General features: G+C 43.7%; 2 long non-coding RNA genes across 4 annotated transcripts in view, besides 5 other annotated features; one reads left to right on the top strand and one right to left on the bottom strand.

The window, feature by feature from the left end:
• LOC105370764 (uncharacterized) overlaps positions 1-15,908 on the top strand; it is a 22,830-nt gene continuing 6,922 nt past the window's right edge. Inside the window, exons 1-3 of one of the 3 annotated variants that reach the window (NR_188212.1) lie at positions 1-127; positions 1,328-1,453; positions 14,769-14,995. This is a non-coding gene — a long non-coding RNA (uncharacterized LOC105370764). Of the gene's footprint in view, positions 128-1,327; positions 1,454-5,288; positions 5,880-13,757; positions 13,990-14,768; positions 14,996-15,908 lie in introns of those variants that run through there. The other 2 variants (NR_188213.1, NR_188214.1) reach the window with 2 other exon arrangements.
• Positions 25-114: an enhancer, noted in NCBI's record as "active region_9187". NCBI's record gives its function as "activates an Ori minimal core promoter by ATAC-STARR-seq in GM12878 lymphoblastoid cells {active_cell/tissue: GM12878}" and the evidence as "EXISTENCE:reporter gene assay evidence [ECO:0000049][PMID:35858748]".
• Positions 4,861-6,060: an enhancer, noted in NCBI's record as "P300/CBP strongly-dependent group 1 enhancer chr15:35285419-35286618 (GRCh37/hg19 assembly coordinates)". NCBI's record gives its function as "activates an origin of replication core promoter dependent on BRD2, BRD4, P300/CBP, MED14 and CDK7 cofactors, with strong dependence on P300/CBP, by STARR-seq in HCT116 cells {active_cell/tissue: HCT116}" and the evidence as "EXISTENCE:reporter gene assay evidence [ECO:0000049][PMID:35650434]".
• Positions 5,335-5,384: an enhancer, noted in NCBI's record as "active region_9188". NCBI's record gives its function as "activates an Ori minimal core promoter by ATAC-STARR-seq in GM12878 lymphoblastoid cells {active_cell/tissue: GM12878}" and the evidence as "EXISTENCE:reporter gene assay evidence [ECO:0000049][PMID:35858748]".
• Positions 5,989-6,038: an enhancer, noted in NCBI's record as "active region_9189". NCBI's record gives its function as "activates an Ori minimal core promoter by ATAC-STARR-seq in GM12878 lymphoblastoid cells {active_cell/tissue: GM12878}" and the evidence as "EXISTENCE:reporter gene assay evidence [ECO:0000049][PMID:35858748]".
• Positions 6,492-7,163: an enhancer, noted in NCBI's record as "OCT4-NANOG-H3K27ac-H3K4me1 hESC enhancer chr15:35287050-35287721 (GRCh37/hg19 assembly coordinates)". NCBI's record gives its function as "activates a minimal SCP1, AML or CMV promoter by ChIP-STARR-seq in naive H9 embryonic stem cells {active_cell/tissue: H9 hESC(naive)}" and the evidence as "EXISTENCE:reporter gene assay evidence [ECO:0000049][PMID:30033119]".
• The window catches only part of LOC105370763 (uncharacterized), a 13,440-nt gene continuing 12,525 nt past the window's right edge, over positions 14,994-15,908 (bottom strand). The window contains exon 3 of the long non-coding RNA XR_932098.3: positions 14,994-15,874. This is a non-coding gene — a long non-coding RNA (uncharacterized LOC105370763). The remainder of the gene's footprint in view (positions 15,875-15,908) is intronic.

Below are 15,908 nucleotides of genomic sequence, written 5' to 3' on the forward strand. Positions count from 1 at the left end.
AATTTCAGGGCCGTTGTCGCCTCCGGGCGGTCCGCGGGTCCCGAGCGGACTGGGACTCTGGAGACGTGCCCCCAACCCCACCGCCATTCACCCTGTCATTGCAGGGGAGAGAACAGAATAAAGACGGGTACATTTTCCATCTCACCTCTGAACCTCGGTTAGGAAAACGCTGTAGCCCTGACTAGTGGGCTCAAGGGCCGACTGGAAAAGGGCGAGTCAGCGTTCAAAGCCGATTCGGGGCAGCCCTCTCTAACGCAGAGGGCCGAGGATAAGAAGACGACAATGTGTTAGGGGCCCTCCGGGCTAGGACTGTCCTCACCACTTTGTACATTGCCAAAGTAAATATAACGTAGAGGTCAAGCGCAGGCGCTTTGTGGGCAGACATGACTGAGCTCCACTCGCGACTCCTCTAATGGCGTGCCAGCTGCGGACCTCATTAGCCCCGCCTCAATCATTCAGTATGTTTTGGTTGTCTACAGTGTACGAAGCCCTGTTCTCACAATTAGATAAAATGAGTGTGAAGTGCTCAACATAATTCCTAGTGTAGTAGGCCTTCAAAGAACTATTATCATTATTAATTACTCATATAGAATACAACTTTATGAAATGATAGGATCCCATTTTAAGATGAGGAAAATGAGGCTATCAGAGACGTTAAGGAACTTAATGTCACACAGTTAATAAACGATAGAGGTGCGATTTGAACACAGGTTGTCTAATACCAGACCTGCATTTATAACTGCTGCTTCCCAAGTTATAGATATTTCAGCATTTTATGTAGTCACAATTGAAGACCAAATATTTAGTTACAGACTAAGTTGGCATGTTATTACTGAATAAGATGCTAAGGTATCTACTAAAGATTTTAAGTGCAAAAGGCATTAGAGAAGAATTTACTGTGGATTTTTTGCAGGTTCTGATTGTAATTGTATCACCTTGAGAAAGGAGGAAATGAAAGCAGATTATCAGGCATACTTTTTTAACTCTAAGCAACTTTTTGCATTACTTTCTAAGGACCATCAGCAACAAAAATCAATGGTTTCTAATGTTGATATATTTTCCTCTACCAAAAAAATTAAAGCAGCTGAGCCAACAAAAATTCTCTGTTTTGGATGTGTTAGCATGAGGAAATGGCGAATAGGAAATGAGCTTTTGCTTCTCATGTAGGAACCCTGAAGGAGTCAGATTTGGGAGGGGTTGAAGTCTGCTTCCAACAGAAGCAGGGGTGGAGAAGGGAAAGGAAAGACTTCTGGTGTCCTAAATGCTAGTCCCAAAGTGGGGATGCTGTTTGTCCGGATAACCCTTGTAAATCTGCTCCATTCTGCAGCTACTCCTGGGAAACTTAACTCAGCCAAATAATGCAAACAATTGCATCCATCATCAGCCACATCAGCCTTAGGAGATACATCCATATCATGAGAAAACACTACCTGAAATTGGGGACCACTGGAGGGTGAGATTCGTTCTTTATCCATTACCTGCAAAACAAATTGGCCTTTGCATGGAGAGTCTGAATATATATTGAGTGTGAAAGCAGTTAGGACTTGAATAGGCTATTCTCCAAGGCCACATGCCCCATGTCATAACCTCCCCCATTTACCGTGAGAGCTATCTCAGGAGCCTTCTGGAAAAAAAAGAGAAATTAACATGAATAAGAGTAATCAAGGAAGATTTCATTGAATATGTGAAATTTGAACTAGCAGTAGTGGGTAGACTATGAATAAATAAAAAATGTGGGGGCAGGACAGAACATGGTAGGGCAGAGGTGGCAGGGTGAAGAAAAGATAGTATGAGAATGAAAAATAAAGGGGGTGCATGACATACGTTTGAATTAGTATCTTAATGCTGCAGCTTACTAGTTGTGTCCTTAGAAGTTATTTAACCTAGGCTGGGCGCGGTGGCTCACACCTGTAATCCCAGCACTTAGGGAGGCCGAGGCGGGTAGATCATGGGTCAGGAGTTCGAGACCAGCCTGGCCAACATTGTGAAACCCTGTCTCTACTAAAAATACAAAAATTAGCCGGGCGTGGTGGCACGTGCCTGTAGTCCCAGCTACTCAGGAGGCTGAGGTGGGAGGATTGCTCTAGCCCAGGAGTTAAAGGCTGTAGTGAGCCGTGTTCATGCCACTGCACTCCAGCCTGGATGACAGAGCAAGACTCTGTCTTAAATAAATAATAATAAAAATAGAAAAGATGTGCCACTGCACTCTAGCCTGGGCGACAGAGCGAGACTCTGTTTCAAAAAAAGAAAAAGAAGAAAAGACATATCAGGTACCAAGCTCTAAATATTCACTTCCAATTATATAAAGATGAAGCAGTTAGGCCCTGAACCTTAAATTAGTTTCTAGCCCAGAGGGGAAAATAACATACAAACAAGTATTAATACAATATGATAAGAGCAGATATATATAGGAGGAAAGAACATCTAAATCTGCTTGGAGGTTCCAGGTACAGATGGTCCCTGAGCTGCAGCTTCAATCAGCCATCTATCCATCCATCCGTTCTGCATATATTAAGCACTCGCTGTGTATCAAGTCCTGTTCTAGGCAAGGGGGACAGAGTAGCAGACAAAAAGTCAAAAATCCATGTCTTCATAGATTTTATATTCTACTGAAGGAGACAGACAACAGATCAAATAAGTTAAAATATATAATATGTTAAATATTAGTAAGAACTGAGGAGAAAAGCACAGAAGAGGGCTGTGAAGATTTGAGGGTGTGGGTGGGGATGCTGGCATTTTAGTAGATGGCCAGAGATGGCCTTAATGAGAAGTTCTGTGATTTTTTTTTTTTTTAATACAGAGTCTTGCTCTGTCACTCAGGCTGCAGTGCATTGGCACGATCTCAGCTCACTGCAACCTCTGCCTCCCAGGTTCAAGTGATGCTCCTGCCTCAGCCTCCCAAGTAGCTGGGACTGTAGGTGCCTGCCACCATGCCCGGCTAATTTTCGCATTTTTAGTATTTCGCATTTTTAGCACCATGTTGGCCAGGCTGGTCTTGAACTCCTGATCTCAGGTGATTCATCTGCCTCGGCCTCCCAAAGTGCTGGGATTACAGGCATGAGCCACTGCACTCAGCCTAGTTCTGTGATTGTTGAGTTGAAACCTGGTGGAAATGAGAGACTGCCTTTCCCATGGGAGACAGTAGGAGGCAGGGATAAAAATGAGTAGTAACTTGCTTAGTGGGCAAGAGAGTGTGTTTTTGGAGGAGGGTGGGGAAAGGAAAGATAGGCAGAGAATATTCCAACCACAACAGACACACAGTGAGAAAAGGCATGGCAAACAGGAAATACAAGTAGTTGCTGGAGTGTGAAGTACAGGTTGGGAAAGTGGGGAGTGGCAGGAGAGTCACTCACGCAGGAAATAATTTGGAGCACCTACTGCTCACCAGGTTCTTAACAAGAAGCTCAGAAAGTTGTTATATGCAAATGTTTTCTTTTTAAAAATTTTCTTCTTCTTTTTCTATCTTTTATCCAAATAATTGTACTTGATTCTCTAGTTTCTCTTCAGATCCTATAAATCTTTCATCTTTTACCAAAATAATTGTACTTCAAAGGAGTCCATAATTTTAGGATATTTTGTATGTTTTTTGGAATATTTTAAAAACAGAGTTTTTTTTTAACTTTTTTTTGAGATGGAGTTCTGCTCTTGTTGCCCAACCTGGAGTGCAATGGCACGATCTCGGCTTACTACACCCTCCGGCTCCTAGGTTCAAGCGATTCTCCTGCCTCAGCCTCCCGAGTAACTGGGATTATAGGCACGCGCCTCCACGCCTGGCTAATTTTTTTTTTTTTTTTTTTTTTTTTTTTTTTTTTTTTTTGTAGAAACGGAGTTTCACCATGTTAGCCAGGCTGGTCTCAAACTCCTGACCTCAGGTGATCCGCCCACCTTGGCCTCCCAAAGTGCTGGGATTACAGGCATGAGCCACCATACCCGGCTAAAAAACAGACACTTTTTGAAATTGACTTTTAATGGTGTTAAAGCTGCCTTCTGCCCTAAGTGACAGGCTGGCAAGGAGCTCACATCTCCTGGTTCCATCCCGTCTCTCTTATCTTTCCTTTCTCCTCTTCCCATTCCCTCTGTGGAACAACATACAAAGTCATCTGCTTGCCTTCTGCAGATAGTCCACCCAAATCTGTACCCCTCAGGTGTTAGTTTCTACCCCCAAGCAACTGTCAAAGAATTTTTTCAACAAAGAAATCCTTCTTTCTTTCTTTTTTTTTTTGGGGGGAGGGGAGATGGAGTTTTGCTCTTGTTGCCCAGGCTGGAATGCAATGGCGTGATCTTGACTCACCGCAACCTCCGCCTCCCGGGTTCAAGTGATTCTCCTCCCTCAGCCTCCCGATTAGCTGGGATTACAGGCATGCGCCACCGTGCCCAGCTAATTTTGTATTTTTAATAGAGACGGGGTTTCACCATGTTGGTCAGGCTGGTCTCGAATTCCGGACCTGAGGTTATCTGCCCACCTTGGCCTCCCAAAGTAGAAATCCTTATTTCTTAAGATGATTTTTGGTGAATAGAACCCTCTCCTTCCCATCATATACTGTACTTCCTTGAGAATAATACTTGCAACTTCTTGTACATTGTGCTACACAACTTCTGAGAGCATTGTGGTGTAGGAGTGGGGCAGCTGGGAGCAGGGAGAGGGTGGAGGATAAGTTGAGATCAGAAGATGAAGCACAATACGGCTGTACTGTATTTTACTTAGGACAGTTGGACTGTCTACAGCTCACAGGCTAGCCCCAGTCTCCTAAAGGATTGCTGGAAATCTCTAAAGCTCCATTAGTGATAATACCTATTGGATTTCTGGGTCTGGTTAGGTATTGCACTGTTCCACACCCCGACTCCTGCCCCACTTCCTCACTTCCCATGTGTTGGTTCAAATTCGGTAGTATTGAGGTTCCAGAGTTACCTGGAAGCAGGCAGAAATCCCCCATAGGGTTTTGACCGTACTTGTTCATCCTTAGAGTCAAGACCAACCTCTCGACACCACTGAATGCACCCCTTGTAACCACTCAAAGGGTCCACCTTGCCCACTGCCTAGACAGAGCTAATTTATCAAGACAGGGGAATTGCAGTAGCGAAGAGTTTAATTCACACAGAACTGGTTGTACAGGAGACTGGAGTTTTATTATTACTCAAATCAGCCTCCTCGAGAATTCGGGAATCAGAGTTTTTAAGGATAATTTGGTTGGGGCAGGGGCAGTGAATCGGGAGTGCTGATTGGTTGACTCACAGATGAAATCATAGAGAGTTGAAACTGTCCTCTTATACTGAGTCATTTCCTTGGTGGAGGCCACAAGACCAGATGAGCCAGTTTATTGATCTGGGTGGTGCTAGCCGATCCATGAAGTGTAGGGTCTACAAAATACGTCAAGCACTGATCTTAGGTTCTACAATAGTTATGTTATTCCCAGGAACAATTTGAGGAGGTTCAGAATCTTGCCACTTCCAGCTGCATGACTCCTAAACCATAATTTCTAATCCTGTAGCTAATTTGTTAGTCCTTTAAAAAAAAAGCAGTCTAGCCCCCCAGGCAGGAAGGGTGTTTATTTTGGGAAAGAGCTGTTATTGTCTTTGTTTCAAAGCTAAACTATAAACTAAGTTCCTCCCAAAGTTCATTGGGCCCACACCCAAGAATGAACAAGCACAACTTGAAGGTTTGAAAGTAAGATGGAGTCGATTAGGTCAACCACAATTTTCTCAGTTGTAATTTTTGCAAAGGCGGTTTCACTCTGACTCTTAGGACAAGGGTCTGAGCCAACCAAGGAGGGTGGGAGGAACGATAGTTTTTGCTTATGGAGTCAAGTGAGCTTGACATTGTGACTTTCTCCTGTTTCTGGATCTTACTTTCTGGAGGCCGGTGATAAGAGTTCTCACAGGTAGAGTCTACCAAAAAAAAAAAATGCCCTTCTTCACAAAAGCCAGAACAGACTAAGCATTTCCTTTCTCAGTCCCCATCTGCAAGTAGTGTTGTGGGCTTTAAGTCTGTCTCCGGTGTCTGCCAGATTCTAGGGGTAAATATATGAGATGTTACTGATCTCTTCTGGCTTCCCAATTAGGTAAATACTTAGTAAGCATGATTTTTATTTAAGGTCCCGGGCTTTTTTGTTGTGTTCTCTGACCCAAAGTAAGAACTTACTTACCTTATGATCAACGGTTTTAGTAGTTAGAAATCTGAACTCAGGTGGCTAAAGGTAATCTTCCTCATTGACAGCTCTGTATGGCTGGAATGGTGCCTCTGTTTCTAACACTAAACAGTTTTTTTTTGTTTTGTTTTGTTTTGAGACAGTCTCGCTCTGTCCCCCAGGCTGGAGTGCAATGGTGCAATCTCAGCTCACTGCAACCTCTGCCTCCCGGGTTCCACCAATTCTCCTGCCTCAGCCTCCCGAGTAGCTGGGATTACAGGCACACGCCACCATGCCTGGCTAATTTTTGTGTTTTCAGTAGAAACGGGGTTTCATCATGTTGGCCAGGCTGGTCTCCAACTCTTGACCTCGTGATCCACCTGCCTCGGCCTCCCAAAGTGCTGGGATTACAGGCGTGAGCCACTGCGCCCAGCCTGAACAGTTCTCTTAATACTCAGTCTTCTCTCTCCCTCCCCTTTAATGACTTCTTGAAGAACAAGAGGTGGGGAGGATATCTCAAGTTTTCACAGGAAGTTTTGAGCTTATCCAGCAATGCTTTGCTTTAAGTTCCTCCCATAGCAACTTGTTCCAACAAGCCTGATTTTTCCAAATGGCTTCCCAACAGCAAAGTAGAATGGTTTGTTTCTAAAGCCTCTTAAGTGTTAACACAATTGCAAAACAAAGGTCATTTCTCCTTCCAGCTGTTACATTGTCAGAAACTCTACTTACAAATCCAGGCAATTTATCACATTGCCAAGTATTGTTAAGCATTCAGGTACTCAGCGTACCCTGAGAGGTGCATTGACAGATTTGCAATCAAATAAATTCCTAATTCTGGAATTAATTCAATTAATTATTAATTATTGTTCACACCCCCACTGACACCCCTGTAATATTAATATTTTAGGGGAACATAAAAATCTTCCTTTCTTCATTACCTAAAAATGTCTGTATTTCTTGTGGCATAAAGCATTCACTAGTAGTCCTAATAGGCAGTTTCAAGTTTAGAGTCTAATCTATAAGCCTGATAGTATAAGGGACTCTGTCTCAGTTGAAGAAGCAAGCATGATAGAAACCTTTAATCAGCCCTGTAATGAGTTGAAATCTGTCCTGTGTCCCTTAAAAAGATATATTCCAGTCCTAACCCTGAGTAGCTTTGAATGTGGCTTTATTTGGATAAGAGACTTTGCAGATGTAATTAAGGATTTTCAGTGTGAAATCATCTAGGTTTTAGAATGAACCGTAAATCCAATGACTGGTGTCCTTATGAAAAGCAGGATATTTCCCTGACCCCTTCATGGGCAGAAACTGGAGTACACAGGGACTAGAACTAGCTGGCCACTTTGGTGCCGGCAGGGGCAGACTCAATTAACTTGGTCCCTCCGGGATCTACCCCTTGCTGGAGGTGAAGTACAGATGAATAGGTTCAGGAGCTGGCGTGAGCATTTTTGGGCACCAGCAGGAGCAAAACTCCATGCAGCCCCCACTGCAGTGGCTGGGGGGTTGTCTGTGACCTATGAAGCTGCAGAAGGAGTGTTTCAGTGCCCTTTTAGCTTTGCAGTCTGTGGACAGCAGTGGAGGGTCAGTGTGACAGCCTTTTGCACCTGCACTCATGGCACCCAAATTCTTGTCTGACATCCAGGAGGAATGAGGTCGCATGAATGACTTGAAGATGGTAGATGTGGATTTTTTTTTTTTTTTAACGAGATTTGCTCTTGTTGTCCAGGCTGGAGTGCAATGGTGCGATCTCGGCTCACCGCAACCTCAGCATCCCCGGTTCAAACGATTCTCTTGCCTCAGCCTCCGGAGTAGCTGGGATTACAGACATGTGCCACCATGCCTGGCTAATTTTGTAGTTTTAGTAAAGATGGGGTTTCTCCATGTTGGTCAGGCTGGTCCCGAACTCCCGACCTCAGGTGATCCGCCTGCCTCGGCCCCCAAAGTACCAAGATTACAGGTGTGAGCCACTGCACCTTGCCAATTTCTGTTATTTTATTTTATTTATTTATTTATTTTTTTTTTTTTTTGAGACGGAGTCTCGCTCTGTTGCCCAGGCTGGAGTGCAGTGGCGCGATCTCGGCTCACTGCAAGCTCCGCCTCCCGGGTTCACGCCATTCTCCTGCCTCGGCCTCCCAAGTAGCTGGGACTACAGGTGCCCGCCACCATGCCCGGCTAATTTTTTGTATTTTTAGTAGAGACGAGGTTTCTCCATGTTAGCCAGAATGGTCTCGATCTCCTGACCTCGTGATCCACCCAACTCGGCCTCCCAAAGTGCTGGGATTACAGGCGTGAGCCACTGCGCCTGGCCCTATTTTATTTTTTTTTTGAGACAGAGTCTTGCTCTGTCCCTCAGGCTGGAGTGCAGTGGTGCAGTCTCGGCTCACTACAACCTCTGCCTCCCAGGTTCAAGCAGTTCTCCTACCTCAGCCTACTGAGTAGCTGGTATTACTAGCATGAGCCACCACACCTGGCTAATTTTTTTTGTTTGTTTGTTTTAGTAGAGATGGGGTTTCACCACGTTGGCCAGGCTGGTCTTGAACTCCTGGCCTCAAGTGATCTGCCCACCTCAGCCTCCCAAAGTGCTGAGATTACAGGCATGAGCCACCATGCCCGGCCCAATTTCTGTTATTTTAAACCACCCATTTTATGGTACTTTGTTATGGCAGACCTATAAACTCATATCAATCCAATTTTTTTTTCATTCTGCCAGTGAAAAGAGTCAAACTCTGTAAAATATTTGAAGAGATTCATCTTGAGCCCAAATATAACTGACAATGACCCGAGATACAGTCTTAAGAGGTCCTAAGAACATGTGCTCAAGATGGTCAGGCTACAGCTTGGTTTTTGTTTGTTTGTTTTTGAGACAGAGTCTCGCTCTGTCGCCCAGGCTGGAGTGCAGTGGCACCATCTCGGCTCACTGCAACCTCCGCCTCCCAGGTTCAAGCAATTCTCCTGCCTCAGCCTCCCGAGTAGCTGGGACTACAGGCGCCCGCCACCACACCCGGCTAATTTTTTGTATTTTTAGTAGAGAAGAGGTTTCTCTGTGTTAGCCAGGCTGGTCTTGAACTCCTGACCTCAGGTGATCCGCCCATCTCGGCCTCCCAAAGTGCTGGGATTACAGGTGTGAGCCACCATGCCTAGAATGTTTTATACATTTTAGGGAGACATAAGACATCAAGCAATACATGTCAGATGCTCATTGTTCTGGTTCTGTCTGGAAAGGTGGGACAACTCGGAGTGGGGGTTTCCAGGTTATAGGTGAATTCAAATATTTTCTGATTGGCAGTTGGTTGAAAGAGTTAAGCTATTATCTAAAGACCTGGAATTAATAGAAGGGAGTATTTTGGTTAGAATTAGGGATTGTGGAGACCAAGGTTCTTACCATGTGGATGAAGCCTCCAGGTAGCAGGCTTTAGAGAGAATACATTGTAGATCAGGGGTGTTCAATCTTTTGGGTTCCCTAGGCCACACTGGAAGAAGAAGAATTGCCTTGGGTCACACATAGAATATACTAAAAAAAAAATTGCAAGGCCCAGCACAGTGGCTCACGCCTGTAATCTCAGCACTTTGGGAGGCCGAGATGGGCGGATTGCTTGAGGTCAGGAGTTCAAGACCAGCCTGGTTGACACAGTGAAACCTCGTCTCTACTAAAAATACAAAATTAGCCGGGCGTGGTGGTGCATGCCTGTAGTCCTAGCTACTCAGGAGGCTGAGGCAGAAGAATCACTTGAACCAGGGAGGCGGAGGTTGCAGTGAGCCGAGATCGCACCACTGCACCCTAGCCTAGGCAACAGAGCCAGACTCCTTCCTAAAAAAAATAAAAATTGCAAAGAAATCTCATAATGTTTTAAGAAAGTTTACAAATTTGTGTTGGACCACATTCATAGCTGTTTTGGTGCGTGGATTGAACAAGCTTGTTGTAGATGTTCCTTATCAGACTTAGAAAGCTGTCACGCTCTTAGTTAATTGTCTCCTGGATCAGGGAAAAGACCTAGAAAAGGAAGTAGATTCTCTACAGAATGTAGATTTCCCCCACAAGAGACAACTTTGTAGGGCCATTTCAAAATACATCAAAGAAATATATTTGGGGGTAAAATACTTCTATTTTTTTCAGGGCCTACCATCTGTCATGTTGGTATCTTATTGCTACAGTCTGTTTTGTCAGTCTTAAAGTCTCTGTTTTAATGTCAATGCTGGTCAGCTGTGCCTGAATTCCAGCGGGAGAAGAGTATGATGAGGCACGTCCAACTCCCCCTTCCTATCGTGGCCTTAACTAGTTTGGAGGTTAACTTTGGAACGCCCTTGGCTAAGATGAAGGATCCAGTCGGTTGGGGGGCTTAGAATTTTGTTTTTGGTTTACAGTTGCCTCCACAAACATTTATTGAGCACTATCATGTGCCAAGCAGAGAAACAAGAAAATCCTTGTTCTTACAGAGCCTATATTCTGATAGTGATGGTGGTGGGAAAGAGAAAATAAACAAGCAAACAATAAATAAGATAATTTCTAATGGTGAAAACGACTATTAAGACAGAGTGATGTGACAGAGAATATTGAGGTATGGTGGGCTTCTTTAGATTAAGTGGTCAGGGAGGAAGGTCTCTGAGGAGATGATGTTTAAGCTGAAATCTGAATAAAAAGAAAGAGCTGGTGACCGGAAGATCAATCAATGGGAAGAATGTTGCAGGCAGATGTTACAGCTGGTGCAAAGGCTCTTAGGCAGGAATCACCTCAGTGACTGAAGAATAGGTAGAAGGCCAATGGTGGCCAGGCGTGGTGGCTCAAGCCTGTAATCCCAGCACTTTGGGAGGCCAAGGCGTGCAATCACCTGAGGTCAGGAGTTCAAGACCAGCTTGGTCTCTACAAAAATACAAAACAAAAAAAAATTAGCTGGGCATGATGGCAGGTGCCTGTAATCCCAGTTACTTGGGAGGCTGAGGCAGTAGAATCACTTGAACCCGGGAGGCAGAGGTTGCAGTGAGCCAAGATCGTGCTATTGCACTCCAGCCTGAGCAACAGAGTAAGACTCCGTCTCCAAAAAAAAAAAAAAAAAAAAAAAAAAAAAGAAGGCCAGTGGCTCAGCAATGGTGAGCAAGGAGAAAGTGGTACAAAATGCAAGGAGCTCTGAGAAGTGGTAGGGGTCAGATCCTATGCAGTGTTGTAAACTACAGTAAAGAGTTTAGATTTTATTCTAAATGCAATGGGAAACATTTGGAAGACTTTAGGAAAGAAAAGTGGTCTGATTTATGTGTGTGGGTATATATAATATAATATATATATTATATATATTATATATATATTTTTTTCTAGAAACAAGATCTTGCTATGTTGTTCAGGGTGGAGTACAGTGGTGTGATTATAGCTCACTGCAGCCTCCAACTTCTGAGCTCGAGTGATCCTCCTGCCTCAGCCTCCGAGTTTCTAAGACTATAGGCACATGTCACCCACCACACATGGCCAGTTTTTAAATTTTTTTGTAGAGATGGGGTTTCGCTATGTGGCACAGGCTGGTCTTGAACTCCTGGCCTCAAGTGATCCTGCCTCCTTGGCCTCCCAGAGCTGTGGGATTACAGGCTTGAGTCATCGTGCCCAGCCTGATTCGTATTTTTAAATGAACCCTACTGCTGCCATGTTGGAGTTAGTTGAAGGAGTGTGGGGTTGTATTGTATCAGCTTGGCTAAACCGAAATTTTTTGTTTTGTTTTGTTTTGTTTTGTGTTTTTTTTTTTTGAGATGGAGTCTTGCTCTGTCACCAGGCTGGAATGCAGTGGTGTGATCTCGGCTCACTGCAACCTCCGCCTCCCTGGTTCAAGCGATTCTCCTGCCTCAGCCTCCTGAGTAGCTGGGACTACAGGCGCCCACCACCATGCCCAGCTAATTTTTGTATTTTTAGTAGAGACGGGGTTTCACCATGTTGGCCAGGATGGTCTCGATCTCTTGACCTCGCGATCCACCCGCCTCGGCCTCCCAAAGTGCTGGAATTGCAGGCATGAGCCACGGCGCCCGGCCTTTTATTTTTTTTCAAGAATTTCCTTTGCTACCTGACTCAGGATTAGCAAGCCTCATGGGAGGCATTTTGCATGGTATTTGAAAGGTGAGAAGGAAGCAGTAGCTTGTTTTTACACTTGGAAGGTCTGTGCAGGGCACAGGCACCCATCCCAGCTCACCCATGTTTTTGTAATCTGCTGACTCACCTTGCTGGCCTTGGGCAACATCCAGCCCACAGTTCCTTCAACTCCTGCCAGATGTTCTCCTTTAGCTTCTCCAAGTCCCGGGCCAGAAACATGTTTAGCTCCATGACTAAGGGCAGAACATTAGACTATCTGTGGAAGCTTGGAGTTACTGAGAGGTCTGTCCTTGTAGGTTCATGTTTCTCTTTCCAGATGCTAGTTGATCCTTATGTCTTCAGTTTGCATTCATCCTCCCTTCTAAGTACCAGCCCCAACCTCTGGCACCAGGCACATATAGTGTTTAATCAGCTCCCACAGTTTTCTAAGGTGAAAGTCCTACAATAAGTGTATATATATATATATATATATATCAATTTATTTATATTTTATATAAGTGTATTTATATATAATTTACAGTTAAAATTTTTATCAATATTTATATTTTAAATATATTTATATACGTAGATTTTCTATAAAATGTTATATATTATATATTTACATTTTTATGCATAAAACATGTGATTTTTATATATTTGTTTTGTTACATATGTATGTATATGTTTCTCCTGCTTCAGCCTCCAGAGTAGCTGGGATTACAGACACGTGTCACCATGCCCGGCTAATTTTGTATTTTTAGTAGAGTCGGGGTTTCACTGTGTTGCCCAGGCTGATCTCGAACTCCTGACCTCAGGTAATCCACCCGCCTCGGCCTCCCAAAGTGCTGGGATTACAGGTGTGAGCCACTGCGCCTGGCTTATCCCTGTGGTTTTCTTCTCTCATTGAACATCATTGAAGAAGAGGCAAACGTGAAAGCAGGTACTGGGAACTTAGTCCAGACCCAGAGATCCAGAGACATTGTCATGGAGATGGGGAGAAGTGTACCGATTTAAGAAATGTTTTGGAGGTTGTATTAGAGTTTTCCAGAGAAATAAACCAATAGGATGTTATATATATATATATGTATAAAATGGATGTATTTGATCTATCTATATATATTTATATCTATATATAGGTATATGCAAAGAGAGAGAAAGAAAGAGGAAACAAAGAAAGAAAGGAAGGAAGGAAGGGCCTGCCGCGGTGGTTCATGCCTGTAATCCCAGCACTTTGGGAGGCCGAGTCGGGTGGATCACCTTAGGTCGGGAGTTCGAGACCAACCTGACCAACATGGAGAAACCCCGTCTCTATTAAAAATACAAAAGTAGCCAGGCGTGGTGGCAGATGCCTGTAGTCCCAGCTACTCGGGAGGCTGAGGCAGGAGAATTGCTTGAACCCGGGAGGCAGAGGTTGCGGTGAGCCGAGATTGCAACATTGCACTCCAGCCTGGAGTTTTGCTTTGAAACTCCGTCTCAAAAAAAAAAGAAGAAGAAAAGGAATGCATGAAGGAAGGAAGGAAGGAAGGAGGAAGGAAGGAGAGAGAGAAAGTATTATAAGGAATTGGTTCATGCAATTATGGAGGCTAAGAAGGCTCAAGAGCTGCAGTTGGCAAGCTGAAGACCCAGGATAGCTGATGGTGCAGTTCTAGCCTGAGTCTGAAGCCCTGAGAACCAAGAGAACAGACGGTGAAAGTCCCAGTCTGAATGCTGCCTGGCTCAAGACTCAAAAAGAGCTGATATTTCAGTTTAAGTCTGCAAGTAGGAAAAGACTAATGACCCAGCTCAGTCAGGCAGAAGGAGTTCCTTCTATTTCCCAGGAAGGTCAGCCTTTTGTTCTATTCAGGCCTTCAAATGATCGGATGGGACTGACACACGTTAGGGAAGACAATTTGCTTTACTTTGTCTCTACCTATTCCCATGTTAATCTCATCCAGAACCACCTTCACAGACACATCCAGAATGGTATTTGATCAAAAGTCTAGGCACACCATGGCCCAGTCAAGTGGACACACAAAATTTACCATCACAGAGGTAGAACTTGCAAAACATATAGATATATATTGGATGCAGGGCTGCCTTCCTATGTAGTCACACTGGGCCTCACACTTAGAAGGACCCCACAGTTGGTTTAATGCTCTGCTATTGCTGTCTTGAAATTCTTAATAATTTTTTAACAAGGAGCTCTGTGTTTTCATTTTTCACTGGACCTGCAAATTATGTAACTGGTCCAGACTGGATGTAAGGAGTGAAGGAAAAGAGGCTAAAGTTATTACACTTCAATTTTTGGCTTAAACAACTGGGTGGGTGGTAGGGCACTTTGAGGTACAATTTGGAAGAGAAATGAAGAATTCTGATTTGAACATGTTAACTAAGAGCTGCCTCTTAGACATTGTGGTATTTGTTGATGGCTTCCGCAGCATTCGTTTTTCTCTTCGTGATTCCTAACTAGACCTTGTTTTCCAGGCTCATGGTTAGGGTTTGATTGGTTCCAGCTCCAGCCACCCACAAACTGTCCTGACATGGCAGGCTCTGCCCTACAGGGGCAAAGTGTCAAGTAAACATAGAAGACTAATTCTTTTTGTAATTCTCTTTACCCCTAGATTAAAGAACAAGGAGATGGCTGGCTATTTAAGAAGGAAAGGCAGAGGCTGCAGAAATTGAGCCTAACGGCTTATCAGATGGGATGGATAATTCTTTAAGTTTAAAAGAACTACTCATTTTCCCCAACATCTGTCTTTGCCATCTTCCTATCTAAGGAACCTTTCACTTTTTAGCTGGGGACATAGCTTTCTGGTATGAGAACTACACTGCTCAAACTTCCAATCAGGTAAGCTCTGCCATTTGATTATATTCTGTTTAATGTGCTGTCAGAGGAAGTGGGGTATGCAATTTCCTAGACACATCTTTAAAGGAAGGGGAAATTCCATTTATCCTCCCCTTTCCTTTCGGTTGGCTAGATTTTCTATGTATTGACCGAAATCCTAGTAGTCTGCAGCAGAAAAGTATGCTGGTCCATTGACGTGGAGCCAGGCCAGTTCCGGACTGCCTATCTCTGGAGTTTTACAAGAAAGATAAGTACTATCTAATTTAAGCCACCACTGTTTTGGATGTCTGTCACATATAGCCAATGTTAATCCTAAGTGATATGATACTCATATAATTAACACCTTTTCTTAAGGACATCTAAATGAGTATCTACTTGCTAGAACCAAGAGTCTAATTAGAACTTTTTTTTTTCTTATTCAGGCCATGTACAATTTAGTTTTCAAGCAAACCACAAAACCTTACTTAACCCATATTTTGCTTTGTCTATTTTTTAAGTCCTAAAAGAAATATAGACACTTTATTAAGATCTATTATTAAAAGACCACTATTTCCTCTAGGGAAGCAACAATTGATCCACGTTTTCCTGGCACCAGCTCACATTTCATAAATCCTTGTTTAAAATTAACCCAGATCATTAAAAAACATAAAAAAATTCTTTTTAAATTACACAATAAAAGCTGCCTTCAGAGAGACTTAAAAAAAGTGAGTTTATGGGTAATCTCAGATAAGGTGACCAAATATTCAAAATCGACGAAGACAGTTCCAGTTCCCAGATTGCCAGCTGCTCTGGTTTCTGTCACAGCACACATCTTATGGTTCCAGCCAGATGTCATCCAACTTTAGGACAGGAATTCCTGTCCCTGCTCAGGAGAGCAAGCCACTGAAAATGGGAAGAACCAGTAAGAAAAGTGGAA

The sequence above is a fragment of the Homo sapiens genome, chromosome 15, assembly GCF_000001405.40.
Source record: "Homo sapiens chromosome 15, GRCh38.p14 Primary Assembly".
Classification (NCBI taxonomy): domain Eukaryota; kingdom Metazoa; phylum Chordata; class Mammalia; order Primates; family Hominidae; genus Homo; species Homo sapiens.